Here is a 20,593-nt window from a genome sequence, read left to right as displayed (position 1 = left end):
GAATGTTTTTCCATTTGTTTGTGTTATCTGTGTTTTATTTAAGTAGCATCTTGTAATTCTCGTTGTAGAGATATTTTACCTTGCCGGTTAGCTGTATTCCTAGGTATTTTATTCTTTTTGTGGCAATTGTGAATGGAATTTTGTTCCTGATTTGGCTCTCAGCTTGGATGTTTCTGTTGTATATGAATGCTACTGATTTTTATATATTGATTTTGTATCCTGAAACTTTGCTGAAGTAGTTTATCATATCTAGGAGCTTTGGGGCAGAGACTATGGTGTTTTCTAGGTATAGAAACATATTGTATGAATTACAGGGATAGTTTGTCTTTTTCTCTTCCTATTTGGATGCCTTTTGTTTCTTAGTCTTGCCTGATTACTTTGGCTAAGATATCTAGCACTATGTTGAGTAGGAGTGGTGAGAAAGGGCAACCTTGTTTTGTTCCAGTTTTCAAGGGGAATGCATCCAGCTTTTGCCATTCAGTATGATGTTAGCAATGGGTTTATCATAGATGGCTCTTACTGTTTTGAGGTATGTCCCTTTAATGCCTAGTCTGTTGGGGGTATTTAACATAAAGGGATATTAAATTTTATTGAAAGCCTTTTCTACATCTGTTGAGATGGTTATGTGGTTTTTGCTTTTAGTTCTGTTTATGTGGTGAAGTACATTTATTGATTTGCATATGTTGAACCAACTTTGCATCACTGGGATAAAGCCTAACTGATCCTTGTGGATTAACTTTTTGAATTGCTACTAAATTTGGTTTGCTTGTGTTTTATTGAGGATTTTTGCACTTATGTTCATGAGGAATATTGAACTTCTGTTATTTTGTTATGTCTCTGCCAAGTTTTGTATCAGAATGATGCTGACCTCGTAGAGTTAGGGAGGATTCTCACCTCCTCAATTTTTTGGAATAGTTTCAGTAGGAATGTTACCACCTCTCCTTTATTTATCTCGTAGAAGTGGGTTATGGATTATTCTGGCCCTGAACTTTTTCTGGTTGGTAGGCATTTTATTACTGATCCTATTCTGGAACTTATTATTGATCTGTTCAAGGATTCAATATCTTACCGGTTCAAACTTGGGAGGCTGTATGTTTCCAGGAATTTATCCATTTTCTCTAAATTTTCTAGCTTGTGTACACAGAGGTTTTTATAATAATCTCTGAGGGTTTTTTTGTGTTTCTGTAAGGTCAACTGTACATCCTCTTTGTCTTTTCTGCTTGTATTTATTTGGATCATCTCTCTTTTTCTCCTTTATTAGTCTAGCTAGAGGTCTATCTATCATTAATATTTTGAAAGAATCAGCTCCTAGATTCACTGATCTCTTGTATGATTTTTTGCATCTCAGTTTCCTCTGGTCAGCTCTAACTTTGGTTATTTCTTGTCTTCTGCTAGTCTTGGAGTTGGTTTGCTCTTGTTTCTCTAATTGTGATATTAGGTTGTCAATTTGAGATCTGTCTAACTTTTTAATGTTGGTGTTTAGTGCTATAAACTTCCCTCTTAAAACTACTTTGGCTTTGTACTAGAGATTCTGGTGTGTTGTATTTTTTTTTCTGATTAATTTCAAATAATTCTTTGAATTCTGCCTTTATTTCATTATTTACCCAAAAGTCATTCAAAAGCCAAGTTTTTAAGTTTCCATATTATTGTATTGAGTGATTTTCTTAGCATTGATTTCTATTTTATTGCACTGTGGTATGAGATCCTGGTTGGTATGATTTTGTTTTTTATGAATTTGCTGAGGATTGTTTTATGCCCAATTCTGTGGACAATTTTACAGTATGTGCCATGTGGCAATGATAATAGTGTATATTCTGTTTTTGGATGAAGAGTCCTGTTGATGTGTATTAGAACCATTTTGTCTGGTGTGGAGTTCAGGTCACAAATACCTTTGTTAGTTTTCTGCCTTGATGATCTGTCTAATACTGTCTAATCCTGTCAATAATGTGTTAAAGTATCCCACAGTTATTGTGTGGTTATCTAAGTATCTTAATAGGTCTTCGTAACTTGTGTTATGAATCTGGGTGCTCCTGTGTTAGGTGTGTATATGTGCAGGATAGTTAAGTCCTCTTGTTGAATCAAGGCCTTTACCATTAGGTAATGCATTTTTTTTTGCCTTTTTTGATTTTTGTTGATTTAAAGTATCTTTAAACCAATTAGAATAGCAGCCCCTGCCTCTTTATGTTTTGCATTCACTTGCTAGATTTTTTTCTATCCCTTTACTTTGAGCCTATAGGTGTCATTGCATGTGAGATGGTGCTACTGAAGGCAACATGCTGTTTGGTTTCCCATTTTTATCCAGCTTGCCACTCTTTGCCTTTCAATTGTGGCATTTAGCTCATTTACATTCAAAGTTACCATTGATATGTGTGAATTTGATTCTGTCATCATGTTGTTAGCTGGATATTATGCAGACTTCTTTGTGTGGCTGTTTTACAGTGTCACTGGTCTATGTACTTAAGTGTGTTTTTGTAGTGGGCAGTAAAGGTCTTTCTTTTCCATATTTAGCACTCCCTTCAGGATCTCTTGTAAGGCAGATCTGCTGGCAATGAATTCCCTTAGCATTTACTTATCTGAAAAGGATCTTATTTCTTCTTTACTTGGCTGGATATGAAATTCTTGGTTGAAATTTTTTTTTCTTTTAAGAATGCTGAATATTGGCCCCCAGTTTTATCTGGCTCATAGAGTTTCTGTTGACAGGTCTGCTGTTTGCCCGATGGGATTTCCTTTGTATGTGACCTGCCCCTTCTTTCTAGTGCTCTTTAACATTTTTTCTTTCATTTTGACCTTTGAAAATCTAATGACTATGTGACTTGAGGATTGTCTTCTTATTTAGTATTTTGAGGGATTCTCTGTATTTCCTCAATATTTGAATGTTGGCCTCTCTGGTGAGGTTGGGAAAATTTTCATGGACAGTATCCTGAAATATGTGTTTTAAGTTGCTTAGTTCTCTTCCTCTCTCTCAGGGATGCCAGTGAGTCATAAATTTGGTGTTTTTACATAATCCCATTTTTTTCCTCAGATGTTTTATTCAGTCTTTATTGTTTTTTCTTCATTTTTGTCTTTCTGAGTTATTTCAAAGGATCAGTTTTCAAGCTCTGAAATTCTTTTCTCAACTCAGTTGATACTGCTGTTAATACTTGAGACTGTTTTATAAAATTTTTCTAGTGTATTTTTCAGCTCTTTCAGAACTGTTTAGTACTTTCTTATAATGACCATTTGATTTTTCAACTCCTGTATTGTTTTATTGTAATCCTTAGATTTCTTGGTTTGGGTTTCAACTATCTCCTGTAAGTTGATGATTTTCATTCCTGTTCTTATTCTGAATTCTATTTCTGACATTTTAGCCATTTCAGCTTGGTTAAGAACCATTGCTGGTGAACGAGTGCAATCATTTGGAGGTAAAAAAACACTCTGGCTTTTTGAGTTGCCAGAGTTGTTGTGCTGGGTTTTTTCTCATTTGTGTGGGCTGATGTTTGTTCAGCCTTGAAGTTACTGTCCTTGTGGGGATTTTTTTTTTTTTTTTTTTTTTGCTTTTTTCTTTTTTAATACCCTTGAGGGGTTAATTATGGTATATGGTGTGTTTGGTTTACTCACTTCAATTCTAGTTCATTCCTGGTCTTGGAGGAACCTCCTCCACTAACTCTCCATGCCCACATTTCTTATGTGGGGTGTTCTGCTTCGTGAGTTCTCACAGGCAGGGGCCTGAGTTAGCGAACAAGCTATATCCTTGTGAGGTCAGCCCTAATCTGCTATATGTATGCCTCCTGGGGAAATACAAGGTTGTGCCTGCCCTCAGACAGAAGTAGGTAGAAGTAGGACCACTGGGCTGGAAGCTCTAGCAGGCATGGCTTTCCTGGCTACCAGAAATAGGGATGGGTGGGGATGCCTGCCTTGCTGTCTAGGCCTTTCCTGAGACACAGGAAACTGTGCCTTCTAGCTGAGTTTACACAGAATCAGGGTTGCTAGGCTGGAAATTCTAGCAAGTGTTGCCTGCTTGGCTATTAATGGTGGGGGAGGGTGGGGTCATGAGCCCTGCACTCTGGGTGTTTCCTGGGACAACAGGAGGCTGCATTCATCAGCTGAGTTCATGCAGAACCAGGAGCACCATGCTAGAGGCTGTGGCAGGCCTGCCTACCTGGTTACCTCTGGTAGGGCCAGGTGGTGTCATGTGCTCTGACATCTGGATGTTTCCTAGGGGACAATATAAAGATGTGCTTACCAGATGAGTTCACATAGAAGTTGTGCTTACCAGATGAGTTCACATAGAAGTGGAACTGCGGGCTAGAAGCTCTAGCAAGCATTGCCTGCCTGGTTACCAGTAGTGAGGGCCGGTGTGGTCACCAACTCTGTTGTCTGGGTGTTTTCTGAGACAACAGGAAGATGTGCCCTCCAACTGAGTTCACACAGAAGTGGGACTGCTGGGTTGGGCACGGTGGCTCATGCCTGTAATCCCAGCACTTTTGGAGGCCGAGGTGGGCGGATCGCAAGTTCAAGAGATCAAGACTATCCTGGCCAATATGGTGAAACCCCGTCTCTACTAAAAATACAAAAATTAGTTGGGCATGGTGGCATGCACCTGTAGTCCCAGCTGTTGGGAGGCCAAAGCAGGAGAATTGAACCCAGGAGGTGGAGGCTGCAGTGAGCCAAGATCCTGCCACTGCACTCCAGCCTGGTGACAGCTAGACTACGTCTAAAAAAAAAAAAAAAAGAAAAGAAAAGAAAAAAGGGATGGCTGGGATAGAAGCTCTAGCAGGGGTTGTCCATGTAGTTATCAGTGGTGGGGGTGTGGCAGGAGTGGGCAGGCAAGTTTGGGCCTAAGCAGGACCACTGGGCTGGAAGCTGCCACCAAGCCCTATCCGGAAAGGGCGGTGCAACAATCTCACTGCTCCAAGTCACCACAATTGGTGACTCTATTGGGGTTGTGGCCACCAGTATAGGTCTGCTGCAGGGCTCAAGGCTTGTAAAGTTTCCTTGGACTTGTGAGTTGCCCCTGCAAAACATCCAGGTGGCTCTTTGCCTCAGTTTAGAAGTGCAGTGGGGGTATGGGGGCGCCAGGGGGATTCTCTTATTCCCAGTCTTACACAGGTCCCTGTGGAGAGCATGAATCACCCTGGGCACCCTTACTTACCCTTTCCTATGTCAGAGAGGTTCTCCTGGCTTCGTGTTGAGCCCAAACATGCTAGCACCCAGCTTTTCTCCCCTCTGTTCTGTGTCCCCCTGCTGCCTTGATGGATCCCGACGTGGTTTTTCAGATGATCGGCCTGTTGGGTTAGTGTTCACTAGCCTTTTTGTTTCCTCTCCATGAGAGAGGCACACATGTGCTGCTTCTAGTCTGCCATCTTGGCCTCACCCTAAATCTGATTATTTTTAAGTGTTTCTACATTTGCTTATTATTATTGTTATTATCATTATTATTATTTGAAGAGGCAGGGTCTCACTGTTTTGCCGAGGCTGGTCTCCAACTCCTGCGCTCAAGCAATCCTCTCAGAGGGCTGGGATTACGGGGATAAGCCACCACACCTGGCCCTACATTTACTTTAACACAACAACCAATTATCCAACATCTTTATCTTTTGAGCAGGTAGACATAACTTATTTCTATAAATGATATAAATAATAATATAGCTTATAATCATTTATCTATTAATATAACTTGAGTTTTCTATTAATTATATCATGAATAAAAATTTAATACCTTCACAGTTTCTAATATGCTGACATTTAACATGTATTTAAGAGAATAATTAACTTTAATGTTAAAGAAATAGTTTATGCAAGATGTTATTTTCTTTCTGATTTACCTCTTCAAACTGTGACCATGAGATTAGCTGAAGATTCTAGGTCACCATTCATTATGTATAGTTTCTTTCCAAAATAGTCGTAGAAATTTATCCTTAGCTTAAACATCTTTGTAAAAGCTTTATATTCTTTTCAGGAATCTGAATTTACTTGGAAAGAGTCTGCAGTTAAGACAAGACTATTTTACATTTGCAGTTTTCTATTCAATTTTTTTTCTTCTATTTGTTATATGCTCTTGCAGGTATTTTCAATTGCCTATTACTCTGCAGCCTAGGATTAGTCTCCTGTTTTCAAATTGTTTAAGGAAATCCATTTTATTAATTGCTTCTTTTAAAACTGTCAGATCAGACCAGGCACAGTGACTCACACCTGTAATCCCAGCACTTTGGGAAGCCAAGGCGGGTGAATCACATGAGGCCAGGAATTCAAGAGAAGCCTGGGCAACATGGCAAAACCCCATCTCTACTAAAAATACAAAAATTAGCCAGACGTGATGGCACATGCCTGTAATCCCAGCTACTCAGGAGGCTGAGGCAGGAGAATCGCTTGAACTCAGGAGGCGGAGGTTGCAGTGAGCCGAGATTGTGCCACTGCAATTCAGCCTGGGCGACAGAGCGAGACCCTGTCTCAAATTAATTAATTAATTGATTGATTAATTAATTAATTAATTTAAAAAATAAATTAAATTAAATTATTAAAAAAAGGTCAGATCATTTGGGTGGCATCATAATAAAACAAACCAAAACAATAACAGCTTAAATCTACAGAGGCTGACATAGCACACATGTAATTCACATTTTAATTATTTATTCTTATTTCTGTAGACATCTCACAACTCTTCAAACAAATTTGATTTCATGCTTTTCAGATTTCATACTTTTTATATCTGTTAAGATACTCAAAGCTACTTTTCGCGGGTACTTATATTTTGTCCTTAAAAGGACATGGATATGCGTGGAATTATAAAAACTATCACTGTCATGTTTTACTATGTTCTGAAGATCTGATCTTACCTCTTGCTCCCTCAATTCTGTTCTGAATGAAGGTATAGGTAGTTCCCTATGTATGTGATGTGGCCAAGTATTAAACACATGGCCATAAAATAATAAATAGGATTGCATTCTTACAATGAAACCATACTTAAAGGACAGACGTAGGAAACATGAAAAATTTACCCTACTATTTCAAAACCCGCTAAAGATTTAGAGAAAATGAGAGAAATTATAAAAACAACATCAATCAAATTTAGAAAAATCTGTAAATAAAATTAGACAAGGTGATATAAAAAATTTCTGGTCATCTTAGAAATAAATGAACTCTAAAAGGAAAAAATATATAGAAATGAAGTTTAAACAAAAAGGAGAACAATAATGAATACTTACGTAGATAATGCCAAAAGGGAAAAACCGCAGACACATATAAACATATATACACACATGCATGCACACAAATACAAACATAAATACATATACAGTCATGTGCCACATAATTATGTTTTGATCAGTGTTATATCACATGTACAATGGTGGTCCCATAAGATTCTAATAAAGCTGAAAAATTACTATCACCTGGTGTCATTGTAGCAGTCATAACATGGTTATAGCGGTCATAGCACAAGGCTTACTCATCTGTCTTTGGTGATGCTGATGTAAACACACCTACTGTCCTGGCAGTGGTGTAAAAGTATAGCACATACAATTATGTACAGTATCTAATACTTGATAATAAATATGTTACTGGTTTATGAACTTACTATACTATTTATTATTCATTTGGGATATACTTCTACTTACTATTTTTTTTTAAAGGTAACTGTAAAAACAGCCCAGCGCAATTCCTTCAGGAGTTATTTCAGAAGTAGACATTATGATAGGAGATGATAGCTCCATATATTTGATGAGATATGAGATGAGATATGGAAGTGGAACATGTTGATGTTAATGATACTGACCACGTGTAGGCCTAGGAAAATGTGTGTTGATGTCACAGATTTTAACAAAAAAAAATTAAATAGTAAAAGAAAAATAAAATGTTTTTAAAAAGAAAGAAGCTTATTGAATAAGGATATAAAGAAAGAAAATATTTTTGTACAGCTGTACTAAATATTCTGTACAATGTGTTTGTGTTTTAAGCTGTTATTACCAAAGAGCACAAAAGTTAACAAATTTAAAAGTTTAAAAGTAAAAAAGTTACAGTACCATCAGGTTAAATTTTATAAAAACATTTTATTTTTAATTACTATGGATATACAATCATTATCAATATTTATGGGGTACATGTGATATTTTGATACAAGCATAAAATGTGTAATGTTCAGATCAGGGTAATTGGCTTATGCATCAATCACCTCAAGCACTTATCATTTCTTTGTGTTACAAACATTCCAATTTCACTCTTTTAGTTTTTTTGAAATGTACAATAAATTGTTAACTATAGTTGTCTTATTTTGCTACAAAACACTGGATCATATTTCTTCTATCTAACTGTATTTTTGTACCCATTTACCATCCACTCTTCATCCTCCCTGCCAACTACCATTCCCAGCCTCTGGTAACCATCATTCTATTTTCTATCTCCATGAGTTCAGTATTTTTTATTTCCCACATATGAGTGAGAACATGTGATATTTGTCTCTTTGTGCCTGTCTTACTTAACTTAATGTCCTCCAGTTCTATTCATGTTATTGAAAATGACAGGATTTCATTTTTGTGATTATAATGTGTATATGTGCCACTTTTTAAACCCATTTATTAACTGATGGATACTTAGGTTGATTCTGTATTTTGGCTATTGTGAATAGTACTGTTACAAACATGGCAGTGCAAATATCTCTTTGATATACAGATTTCCTTTCTTTTGGATATATGCCCACCAGTGGGTTTGCTGGATCGTATGGTAGTTCTATTTTCAGTTTCTTTTTTTTTTTTTTTTTTTTTGAGGAATCTCCACAGTGTTCTCCATAGTAGCTCTTCTAATTTAAATTTTCATCACCAGTGTACAAGAGTTTCTCTTTCTCCACATCCTCATCAGCATTTGTTATTGCCTGTCTTTTTGATAAAAGCTGTTTTAACTGGGTGAGATGACATCTCCTTGTAGTTTTTATATGCATCTATCTAATGATTAATGATGTTGAACATTTTTTCATAAAACTGTTGGTCATTTGTTTGTCTTCTTTTAAGAAATGTCTGCTCATACCTTTTATCCATTTTTGTACTATAATTTGAAGTCAGGTAATGTGATGCCTGAAGCTTTGTTCTATTTTGCTCTGTAATTCCATATATATTTTAATATTTTTTATATTTCTGTGAAGGATATTATTGGTATTTTGATGGAGATTGCATTGGATCTGCAGATTTCATTGAATAGTACTGACTTTTAAACGATATAGATAGTTTTTTTTACTGTGCAGAAGCTTTTTAGCTTAATTAGGTCCCATTTGCCAGTTTTTTGTTGTCGTTGCAATTGTTTTTGGCATCTTCATCATGAAATCTTTGCCAGGACTTATGTCCAGAATGGTATTTTCTAGATTATCTCCAAGAATTTATATAGTTTTAGGTTTTACATTTAAGCCTTTTATCTATTGTGAACTGATTTTTGCATATGGTGTAAGGAAGCAGTCAAGGTTCAATCTTCTGCATATGGCTAGGCAGTTATCCTAGCATCATTTATTGAATAGTCCTTTCCCCATTGCTAGTTGGTCAACTTTGTCAAAGATCACATGTTTGTAGGGGTTTGGATTTATTTCTGGGCTCTCTATGCTGTTTTAGTAGTCTATATGTCTGTTTTTGTACCAGTACCATGCTGTTTTGGTTACCATAGGCTTGTAGTATAGTTTGAAATTGGGTGACGTGCTGTCTCCAACTTTGTACTTTTTGCTTAGAATTGCCTTGGCTATGTGAGTTTTTTTTGGTTCCATGTGAATTTTAGAATACTTTTTTCTAATTCTGTGAATAATGTAATTGGTAGTTTTATAGGAATAGCACTGATATGTAAATTACTTTGGGTAATATGGCCATTATAACAATATTGATTTTTCCTATCCATGAGCATGGAATGTTTTTTTTCATCTGTTCATGTCATCTTTGATTTTTTTGAGCACTGGTTTGTAATTCTCATTGTAGAGATATTTCATGCCCCTGTTAGGTGTATTCCTAGGTATTTTATTGTTTTTGTGGCTATATTGTGAATGGGATTGTCTTTCTGATTTGTCTGTCAGCTTGGATGTTGTTGGTATATAGAAATGCTACTGATTTTTGTACATTGACTTTGTATCTTGAAACTTTGCTGAAGTTCTTTATTAGATCTTGGACCTTTTCAACAGAGACTATGGGTTTTTCTAGGTATAGCATCACATAATCTGCAAACAAAGACAGTTTTACTTCCTCTCCTCCTATTTAGATGCCTTTCATTTCTTTGCCTGATTGCTCTGGCTAGGACTTATAGTACTGTATTGAATAGGAATCATGACAGTGGGCGACCTTGTCTTGTTTTACTTCTAAGGGGAATGCTTCCAGCTTTTGCCCATTTAGTATGATGTTGGCTGTTGGTTTGCAAACTATGCACCTGACAAACAGCTAGGATCCGGAATCTCTAAGGAACTTAAACACAGTATCTAGCAAAAAACAGCCCCATTTAAAAGTGGGCAAAGTACATGAACAGTCACTTTTCACAGTAATGCATATGGCCAGGCGTGGTGGCTCATGCTTGTAATCCCAGTACTTTGGGAGGCCGAGGCAAGTGGATCACAAGGTTAGGAGTTCGAGACCAACCTGGCCAACATGGTGAAACCCCATATCTACTAAAAATACAAAAATTTGTCAAGTGTGATGGCATGCACCTGTAATCTCAGCTACTTGGGAGGCTGAGGCAGCATAATTGCTTGAACCTGGGAGGTGGAGGTTGCAGTGAGCTGAGATTGTGCCACTGTACTGCAGCCTTGCTGACAGAGCCAAAAAAGAGTGCATACAAGTGGCCAAAAACATATGAAAAAATGCTCACCATCATTAATCATTAGTAGAAATGCAAATGGAATTCCAAACCACAATGAGATACCGTCTCACACCAATCAGAATAAGTATTATTAAGAAGTCAAAAAATAACAAATGCTGGCAAGGTTGCAAATAAAAGGGAACACTTATACACTGCTGGGGGAAATGCAAATTATTTCAGCAATTGGGGAAAGCAGTGTGGTGATATCTCAAAGCACTTAAAAGAGAAGTACCATTTGATCCAGCAATCCGCTTATTGGGTATATACCCAAAGGAATAGAAATCATTCTATGATATTGTCTGAATCTGTGTTCCCACTAAGTCTCATGTTGAATTGTAGTCCCTAGTGTTGGAGGTGGGACCCGGTGGGAGGTTCTTGGATCATGGTAATGGATTTCTCATGATTGGTCTATTGTCATCCTCTTGGTGCTGTTCTCATGATAGTGAGTTCTTACAAGATCTAGTTGTTTAAATGTGTGCAGCACCTCCTCCCTCATTGTATCTGGCTCCTGTTTCCACCATGTGAGGCACCTTGCTCCCCCTTCACCTTCTGCTATGATTTTAAATTTCCTGAGATCACACCAGAACCTGAGCAGATGCCAGCATCATGCTTCCTGTACAGCCTATGGTACCGTGAGGCAATTAAACCTATTTTCTTTATAAATTATGCAGTCTTGGGTATTTCTTTATAGCAGTGCAAGAATGGACTGATACATTCTATCATAAAGACACATGTACACCTATGTTAATTCCATACTATTCATAAAAACTAAATACATGGAATCAACAAAAATGTCCATGAATAGTAGACTGGAGAAAGGAAATGTGGTATGTATACATTATGGAATACTACACAGCTGTAAAAAATAATGAGATCATGTCCTTTGCAGCAGTATAGAGGGAGCTGCAAGTATTATACAATGGTATACAATTATACCAAGCCAAGTAATGCAGGAACAGAAAACCGAATACCACATGTTCTCACTTATAAGTGGGAGCTAAATGTTGAGTTCACATGGACACAGTTCTACTTGGGAAAAACAGACACAGGTCTACTTGAGTGTGGAGTGTGGAAGGAGAAAGAAAATAGAAAAACTACCTATCAGTTACTACAGTTACTGTGCTTATTACCTTAGTAACAAGATTATTTGTATACCAAACACGGGTGACATGCAATTTCCTTATGTAACACACTTGCATATTTAGTCCTGAACCTAAATTAAAAGTTAAAAAAAATTAAAAAGTAAAATGCATAAGATAATAACAAAACAATTTTTATTTTTCCTATCCATGACCATAGAATGTCTTTACTTTTTTTGTCCTCTTCAATTTCTTTCATCAATGACTCATAGTTTTAAATGTAGAGAGCTTTCACTTATTTGGCCAAGTATATTCCCAGGTATTTTATTTTATCTTTTGCTATTATAAATGGAATTTTTTTTTCTTTTTCAGATTGTTTGCTGTTGACATATTGCAGTGCTACTGGTTTTTGTTGGTTGATTTTGTATCCTGCAATTTTACTGAATTTGTTTATTAGTTCTAAGTCTTTTTTGATGGAGTCTTGAGGTTTCTCTAAATATAAGATTATATCAGCAGCAAACTGGGATAATTTGACTTCTTTCTAATTTGGATGCCTTTTATTTATTTCTCTTGTCTGATTGCTCTAGCTAGGAATTATAGTACTCTTTTGAATAACAGTGATGAAATTGAGTATCTTTGTTGGGTTCCAGAACTTAGAGGAAAGGCTTTCAGTTTTTCAGTATGATAATATTCGTGGGTTTGTCTTATATGGATTTTTAGATTTTTGAGATTTGTTCCTTCTACACCCAGTTTGTTGAGAGTTTTTATCATAAAGAGATGTAGACTTTATCAAAAGTTTTATCAGCATCAGTAGAAATGACCATATGTATTTTACTCTTTATTCTTTTGATGTGATCTCTCACAGTTTTCAATTTGCATATGTTGACTCATCCTTGCATTTACGGGAAGAATCCCACCTTTTATGGTTAATGGTCTTTTGAATAGTTGTTGAATTCAGTTTGCTAGTATTTTGTTGAAGGTTTCTGCATATATGTTGATTGGTGATATTGATCACCAAACCAACAACAGTTTGTTGCTGCTGTTTTATCTTTGTTGGATTTTGACATCAGGGCAATACTGGTCTTGCATGATGAAATGAGTTTGAGTTTATGAAATGAGTTTGAGAGTATTCCCTCATTCTCAACTTTTTGGAATAGTTTTTGAGTAGGATTGATTTTATTTCATCTTTTAGTGTTTGTTAAAATTCAGCTGAGAAATCATCAGATCCTGGGATTTTCTTTGATAGAATATTTTTTATTATTGGTTCTATCTTGTTTGTTATCAGTCTATTCAGGTTTCTGATTTTTTTATGGTTCAATCTTGGTAGGTTTTATGTGTCTAGGAATTTACACATTTCTTCTAAGTTTTTTAATTTATTGGCATATAGTTGCTCATAATAGTTTTTAATGATCCTTTTAAATTTCTGTGGTATCATTTGTAATGCCTTCTTTTTCTCTTTGATTTTATTTATTTGGGTATTCTCTCTTTTTTTCGTAGTTACTCAGACCAAAATGTTTGTTAATTTTGTTTATCTTTTCAAGAAACCAACTTTTTCTTTCATTTGCAATTTTTTTGTATTTTTTGTCTCAATTTCATTTATTTCTGTTCTCATTGTTACTATTTCTCTTCTACTAATTTGAGGTTTGGTTTGCTCTTGCTGTTCTACTTCTTTAAGATGCATCATTAGTTATTTAAAGTTTTTCTACTATTTTCATGTAGGCATTTATTGCTATAAACATTCCTTTTATTACTGCTTTTTCTGTATCCCATAGATTTGGGCATGCTGTGTTTTTATTTTTATTTGTTTCAATATTTTAAAAAGTTTTCTTCTTAATTTCTTTATTGTCCCAATGCTCAGTCAAGAGAATGTTGTTTAATTTACATGTGTCTACATAGTTTTCAAATTTCCTCTTGTTATTGATTTCTAGTTTTATTCCACTTTTGTCAGAAAAGGTAATTATTTTGAAATTTACAGGACTTGTTTTGTGGCCTAACACATATACTATCTTTGAGAATGTTTCATGTGCTGAGGAGAAGAATGTGAAGTTGGCTGCTGTTATATGAAATGTTCTATAAGTGTCTATTAAATCAATTTGTTCTATAGTACAGAATAAGTCTTCTGTTTTGTTGTTTATTTTCTGTCTAGATGATATATCCAATGCTGAAAGTACAGTGTTGAAGTTCTCAACTATTACTGTATTGGGGCCTATCTCTCTCTTTACCTCAGATAATATTTGTTTTATATATCTGGGTGCTCCAGTATTGAGTGCATATATATTTACAATTGTTACATACTCTTAGTGAGTTGACCCCTTTATTATTATATAATTATTTTTCTTTGTCTCTTTTTACAGATTTTTGTCTTGAAGTCTATTTCTTGTGATATAAGTATAGCTATTCCTGCTCTTTTTAGATTTTCCTTTGCATGAAATATAGTTTTCCATTTGTTTATTGTAACTCTATTATGTGTCCTTATAAGTGAATTGAGTTTCTTATACACAGCATATACTTGAGTCCTGTTTTTCTTTTAACCATTCAGCCACTCTATGTATTTGTATTGGAGAATTTTGATCACTTACATGCCATATTATTATTTATTTATTATTATTATTATTGCTTTGTTTTCTATTTTATTATAATAGACTTTATTTTTCAGAGCAGTATTAGGATCACAGCAAAACTGAGATGAAGGTACAGAGATTTCCCAAATACTCCCTGCTACCACACATGCACACAGGCTCCCCCAGTATCAATATCCCCACTAGAGTGGCATATTTGTTGCAATGAATGAACCTGTCATAATACATCATTAACACACACAGTCCATAGTTAGCATTAGGGTTCACTCTTGGTGTTGTACATTCTGTGGCTTGGGACAAATGTATAATACCATGTATCTAGCACTACAGTGTCACACAGAGCAGTTTCAGTGTCCTAAACATCCTCTGTGTTCTCTCATTCAATTGGATTACTTTTTAGGATAGGAATGGTCAAAAGGGACATCTTTGAAAAAGAAACACTTAAGCCAAGAACAGAAAGCCAAATAGAGTTTAGCCAGGTGAAAGAAGTTAGACAGGACAGATGATTGAAGGGTGCTTGAAGCAAAGAGAAGAATGGTATGGGTTAGGTAAGAATCCAATATATTTAAGGAAAAGAAGAAAGTCCAGCATGCCATGTCAGTGAATGAAGGGCAGAGGGTGGGCATGAGGCATATAGAACACTAAAGGGTTTTAAGTTGGGCACCTCTGGATCTAAGTGGCTTTTTCTCAGAATCCTCTGGAATGAATAGGAAGGGACAAAAATCAAAGCAGATATACTGGCTTAATTTGTGATCTGTTTCTTTACTTTTCTTTCCACATGCCTCTGTTTGATCCTCCAGAAAATCAGCTCTGTTACATCTGCCGCCTCCTGTGAGCACAAGGCACAGAAAGTAGACCCTGTAACCCTCAGAGGGCCTGAAGGAAAGCGATGCTGGTGTGACCTGCCCAAGAGGATGGTGCCCAAGGCAGAGCATTCTAGACCCTCATAGGCAACAGAGCCAGGTCAGTAAGATCAGGTTTCTTCTGGGACCTCTGCAGGCTTAGGGGCATTTTCTCTTTTGAGAACTGGTCAAGATGGGGAAACCTAAGCTTTCAGGAAGCAGATAACTATTTTCTTTTATTTTTATTTCTATGGTATTGATTTATTTTCTATATTTACATCTATTTATCTATCATCTATCTACATATATATTCATTTATTTATTTATGTCAACAGCTTTGGGGGTACAAGTGGGTTTTCCTTACATAGACGAACTATATACTTGTGAAGTCTGAAGTTTTAGTGCAGCCATCACCTGAGTAGTGTACATTGTATCCAATATGTAGGTTTTTAATCCTCACCTCACTCCAACCCTCCTGGCTTCTGCCTCTGTGGTGTCCGTTGTACCACTCTGTATGCCTTTGCATACCCATAGCTTAGCTTCCATTTATAAGTGAGAACATATGGTATTTGGTTTTCCATTTCTGAATTATTTCACTTAGAATAATGACCTTCACCTCCATCCAAGTTGCTACAAAATACCTTATTTCACTCTTTTTAGAGGCTGAATAGTATTCCATGATGTATACCACATTTTTTTAATCCACTCATCAGTTGATGGGCACTTATGTTGGTCACTAACGCAATTGTGAATGGCGCTATGATAAGCATACGTGTGCAAGTATTTTTTGATACAATGACTTCTTTTCTTTTAGGTAGATACCCAGTAGAGGGATTGCTGGATTGAATAACAGATCTACTCTGAGTTATTTTGGAAACCTCCAAACTGCTTTCCATAGGAATTGTACTAATTTACATTCTTACCAGCAGTGTGTAAGAGTTCTCTTTTCACCACATCCATGACAACATCTATTGTTTTTTGACTTCTCAATAATGGTCATTCTGGCTGGTATAAGGAGGTATCTCAATATGGTTTTAATTTGCATTTCCATAATGATCAGTGATGTTGAACATTTTTTCATGTTTATTGATCATTTGTGTATCTTCTTTTGAAAAATGTCTACTCGTGTCATCTGCTCACCTTTTGAGGGGTTTATTATTTTTATTATTGTTGCTTGCTGATTTAAGCTCCTTATAAACCCTGGATACTAGACCTTTGTTGGATGCATAGTTTGCAAATATTTTCTCCCATTCTGTGGGTTTTCTCTTTACTATGATGATTACTTTTCTGCTGTGCAGAAGCTTTTTAATTTAATGAGGTCTCATTTATTCATTTTTGGTTTTGTTGAATTTGCTTTTGGGATATTAGTCATAATTTCTTTGCCTAGGCCAATGTCCAAAAGAGTTTATCCTAGGTTTTCTTTTAGAATTTTTATGGTTTTAGGTTTTAGATTTAAAGCTTTAATCCATCTTAAGTTGATTTTTGTATATGGTGAGAGATGGGGATCCAGTTTCATTCTTCTGCATGTGGCTGCTACCCAGTTTTCCTGGCACCATTTATTGAACAGGGAGTCCTTTCCCCAGTTTATGTTTTTGTGTACATTGTCAAAGATCAGTTGGTTATAAGTATTTGGCTTTATTTCTGAGTTATTTATTCTGTTCCATTGTTCTATGTATCTACTTTTTTTATTTTAACCAATGCCATGCTATTTTGGTAACTATGCCCATGTAGTATAATTTGAAATCAGGTAATGTGATGCTTCCAGATTTATTACTTTTGCTTAAGATTGCTTTGGCTATTGGGGCTCTTTCCTGATCCATATGAATTTTAGCTTTTTTTTTCTAATTCTGTGAAAAAATGGTGGTGATGTTTTGATAGAAATCGCATTGAATCTGTAGATTCTTTTGGGCAGTATGGTCATTTTTAGAATACTTATCCTTGCAATCCATGAGCATAGGATGTATTTATATTCGTTTGTATAGAAGATGATTTATGTTACCACACTTTTGTATTTCTCCTTGTAATGATCTTTCACATTTTTTAAGAATATTTCTAGGTATCTCAATTTTTTTGCAGCTATTGTAAAAGGGATTGCATTCTTGTTTGATTCTCAGCTTGGTTGCTGTTGATGTATAGCAGTGCTACCGATTTGTATACATGGATTTTATAGCTTGAGTCTTTGCTGAATTCATTTATAAAATCTAGGAGTCTTTTGGAGTTGTCTTTAGGATTTTCTATGTAGCCAATCACATCATTGGCAAACAGATGTCCTTTATTTATTTCTCTTGCCTGATTGCTCTAGCCAGGACTTCTATTTTTTTTTTTTTTTTTTTTTTTTTTTTTTGAGACGGAGTCTCGCTCTGTCGCCCAGGCTGGAGTGCAGTGGCGGGATCTCGGCTCACTGCAAGCTCCGCCTCCCGGGTTCACGCCATTCTCCTGCCTCAGCCTCCCAAGTAGCTGGGACTACAGGCGCCCGCCACTACGCCCGGCTAATTTTTTGTATTTTTAGTAGAGACGGGGTTTCACCATTTTAGCCGGGATGGTCTCGATCTCCTGACCTCGTGATCCGCCCGCCTCGGCCTCCCAAAGTGCTGGGATTACAGGCGTGAGCCACCGCGCCTGGCCCAGGACTTCTATTTTTAACAGAAGTGGTAAAAGTGGGCATCTCTGTCTTGTTCCAGTTCTTTGTGGGGATGCTTTCAACTTTTCCATGTTAACTATGATTTTGGCTGTGGGTGTGTACTACATGACATATTATGTTTATGTATGTATGTTCTATACCTAAGTTGTTGAGGATTTTTATAATAAAGAGATACTGGAATTTATTGAATGTGTTTTCTGTATCTATTGAGATGATCATATGACTTTCGTTTTAAATTCTATTTGTGTGATGAATCACATTTATTGACTTGCATATCTTGAACCATCCCTTCTGGGCTGAAACCCACTTGATTATGGTAATTATCTTTTTTATGTGCTGTTGGATTCAGTTTGCTAGTATATTGTTGAGGATTTTTGCATCTATGTTCATCAGGGATATTGGTCTGTAGTTTTCTTTTTTTATGTTCTTTCCTGGCTTTGATGTCAGGGTGATGCTGACTTCACAGAATGAATAAGAGATGATTTCCTTCTTTTCAGTCTTTTGGAATATTTTCAGTAGGATTCATACCAATTATTTGAATGTCTGGTAGAATTTGGCTGCAAATTCATCTAGCTTTGGGCTTTTTTGATGTCATTTTTTTCATTACTGATTCAGTCTCACTGCTTATTATTGGTGTATTCAGGATTTCTGTTTCTTCCAGATTAAAGCAAGGAGGGTTATATTTCTCCAGGAATTTATTCATTTAGTATAGATGGTCTAGTTTGTATGTATAGAGGGGTATTCATAGCAGTCTCAAATGATCTTTTGTATTTCTTTATTGTCAATTGGAATGCCTCCATTTGCATTTCTAATTGAGCTTATTTGAATCTTCTCTCTTCCTGGTTCTTCTATAGCTAATGGTCTATCAATTTTATTTATTATTTATAAGAACCACCTTTTTGTTTCATTGATCTTTTGTAATTTTTTGTTTCAGTTTCATGTAGTTCTATTCTGATCTTTGTTTCTTTTCTTCTGCTGGCTTTGAATATGGTTTGTTATTGTTTCTATAGTTCATTTAAATGAGATATTGGGTTGCCAATTTGTGATCTTTTCAGACTTTTTGATGTAGGCATTTAGCACTATAAACGTTCCTCTTAGCATTGCTTTTGCTGTATCCCAGAGGTCTTTATACCTTGTCTCACAGTTAATATTCATTTTGAAAAATTTTTAAATTTTTATCTTGATTTCATTGTTAACCCCAAAATCATTCAAGAGCAGATTTGATTAATTTCCATGTATTTCTATAGTCTTGAGGTTTCCTTTTGGAGTTGACTTCTAGTTTTATTTCACTGTGGCCTTGAGAAGATACTTGATAGGATTTTGATATTTAAAAAATTATTCAGACTTTTGTGGCATATCATATTGTCTATCTTGAAGAATTTCCATGTGCTGATGAGAAGAGTGTACATTCTGCAGTTCTAGAGTAGAGTGTTCTGTGCATATCTGTTAGTTCTGTTTGTTCTAGAGTACAGTTTAAGTCCAGTGTTTCTTTGTTGACGTTCCACCTTGACGATCTGTCTACTGCTGTCAGTGGAGTGTTGATGTCCCCTATTATTATTGTGTTGGTGTCTATCTCTTTTCTTAGGTCTAGTATTAATTGTTTTATGGATCTGGGAGCTGCAGAGTTAGGTGCATATATATTTAGGATTGTAATATATTTTTGTTGAACTGATCATTACATAATAACCTTCTTTGTTTGGTTTTACTATTGTGGCTTCAATGTTGTTATTGCTAGGGAAGGACTTATTACTGTCATTTTGTTATCCCTTTTCTGGTTGTTTTGTTGTTCTTCCCTTTCTTTTCTTCTTCCTCCTTATTGTCTTCCTTTGTTTAAAAGTTATTTTCTCTGGTAGTATTTTTTAATTCCTTGCATTTTATTTTTGTGTCTTTGTTACAAGGTTTTTGCTTTGGGATTACAATGAAGCTTATAACCAATTATTTTAAACTGATGAAAACTTAACTTTGATCACTGAAAACAAAAGAAAAAAGAAAGAAAAGAAATAAACACACAAACAAGAGAAAGCTAAAAAGCTCTATAACTTCATCCCCCCACTTTTTAATTATTTGTTGACTCTATTTATATATTTGTACAGTCTCAACAAATTGCTGTAGTATTATTTTTAATGGGTTTGTCTTTTGTTTTTTCTATGAAATATATGAGCTTTTTTACTTACTGCAGCTACAGTGCTAGAGTATTCTGTATTGTCTGTGTACTTACTTTTACCAGTAAGTTTTATATGTTCAGTTAATTTATTTTTGCTCATTAATGCCCTATTCTTTGAGACTGAAGAATTCTCTTTAGCATCTCTTGTAAGACAAGTCTGCTGTTGATGAAATCCCTCAGCTTTTGTTTGTCTGGTAGATCTTTATTTCTACTTCATGTTTGAAGGATAATTTTGCTGGAAATAACATTCTAAGTTGGGATTTCTTTTTTCTTTCACCATTTCAAATATCTGTCCTGATCTCTAAGGTTTTTACTGAGAAGTCTGCTTCCAGATGTATTTTAACTCCTTTATATTCTATTTGTTTTCTTCTCCTTCTGCTATTAGGATTCTTTGTTTATCCTTGTGTTTGTAAAGTTCTGTGTTATTACTTCCTTGAATAAGATTTGTATCCCATTCTCTCTCTCTACATCCTCTTTATAACCAATAACTCTTAGAT

At 35.6% G+C, this 20,593-nt stretch overlaps 1 protein-coding gene across 10 annotated transcripts in view; it reads left to right on the top strand.

Moving 5' to 3' along the window:
• Positions 1 to 20,593, top strand: part of PABPC4L (poly(A) binding protein cytoplasmic 4 like) — a 253,443-nt gene that overhangs the window by 20,004 nt on the left and 212,846 nt on the right. For 9 of the 10 annotated variants that reach the window (XR_001741133.2, XR_007096357.1, XR_001741135.2 and 6 more), the window contains one exon: positions 15,250 to 15,412. The exons of the other annotated variant lie outside the window; for it this stretch is intronic. Coding sequence is in view for 1 of the 9 variants with exons in the window: in XM_047449600.1 (XP_047305556.1) it covers positions 15,250 to 15,399 (150 nt within the window). In the remaining 8 variants the exon portion in view is untranslated. The remainder of the gene's footprint in view (positions 1 to 15,249; positions 15,413 to 20,593) is intronic. 10 annotated transcript variants of the gene reach the window in all.

Source organism: Homo sapiens, chromosome 4 (genome assembly GCF_000001405.40).
Source record: "Homo sapiens chromosome 4, GRCh38.p14 Primary Assembly".
NCBI lineage: Eukaryota > Metazoa > Chordata > Mammalia > Primates > Hominidae > Homo > Homo sapiens.
The sequence above is the reverse complement of the archived record's forward strand: the minus strand, read 5'-3'. Positions and strand labels throughout refer to the sequence as shown.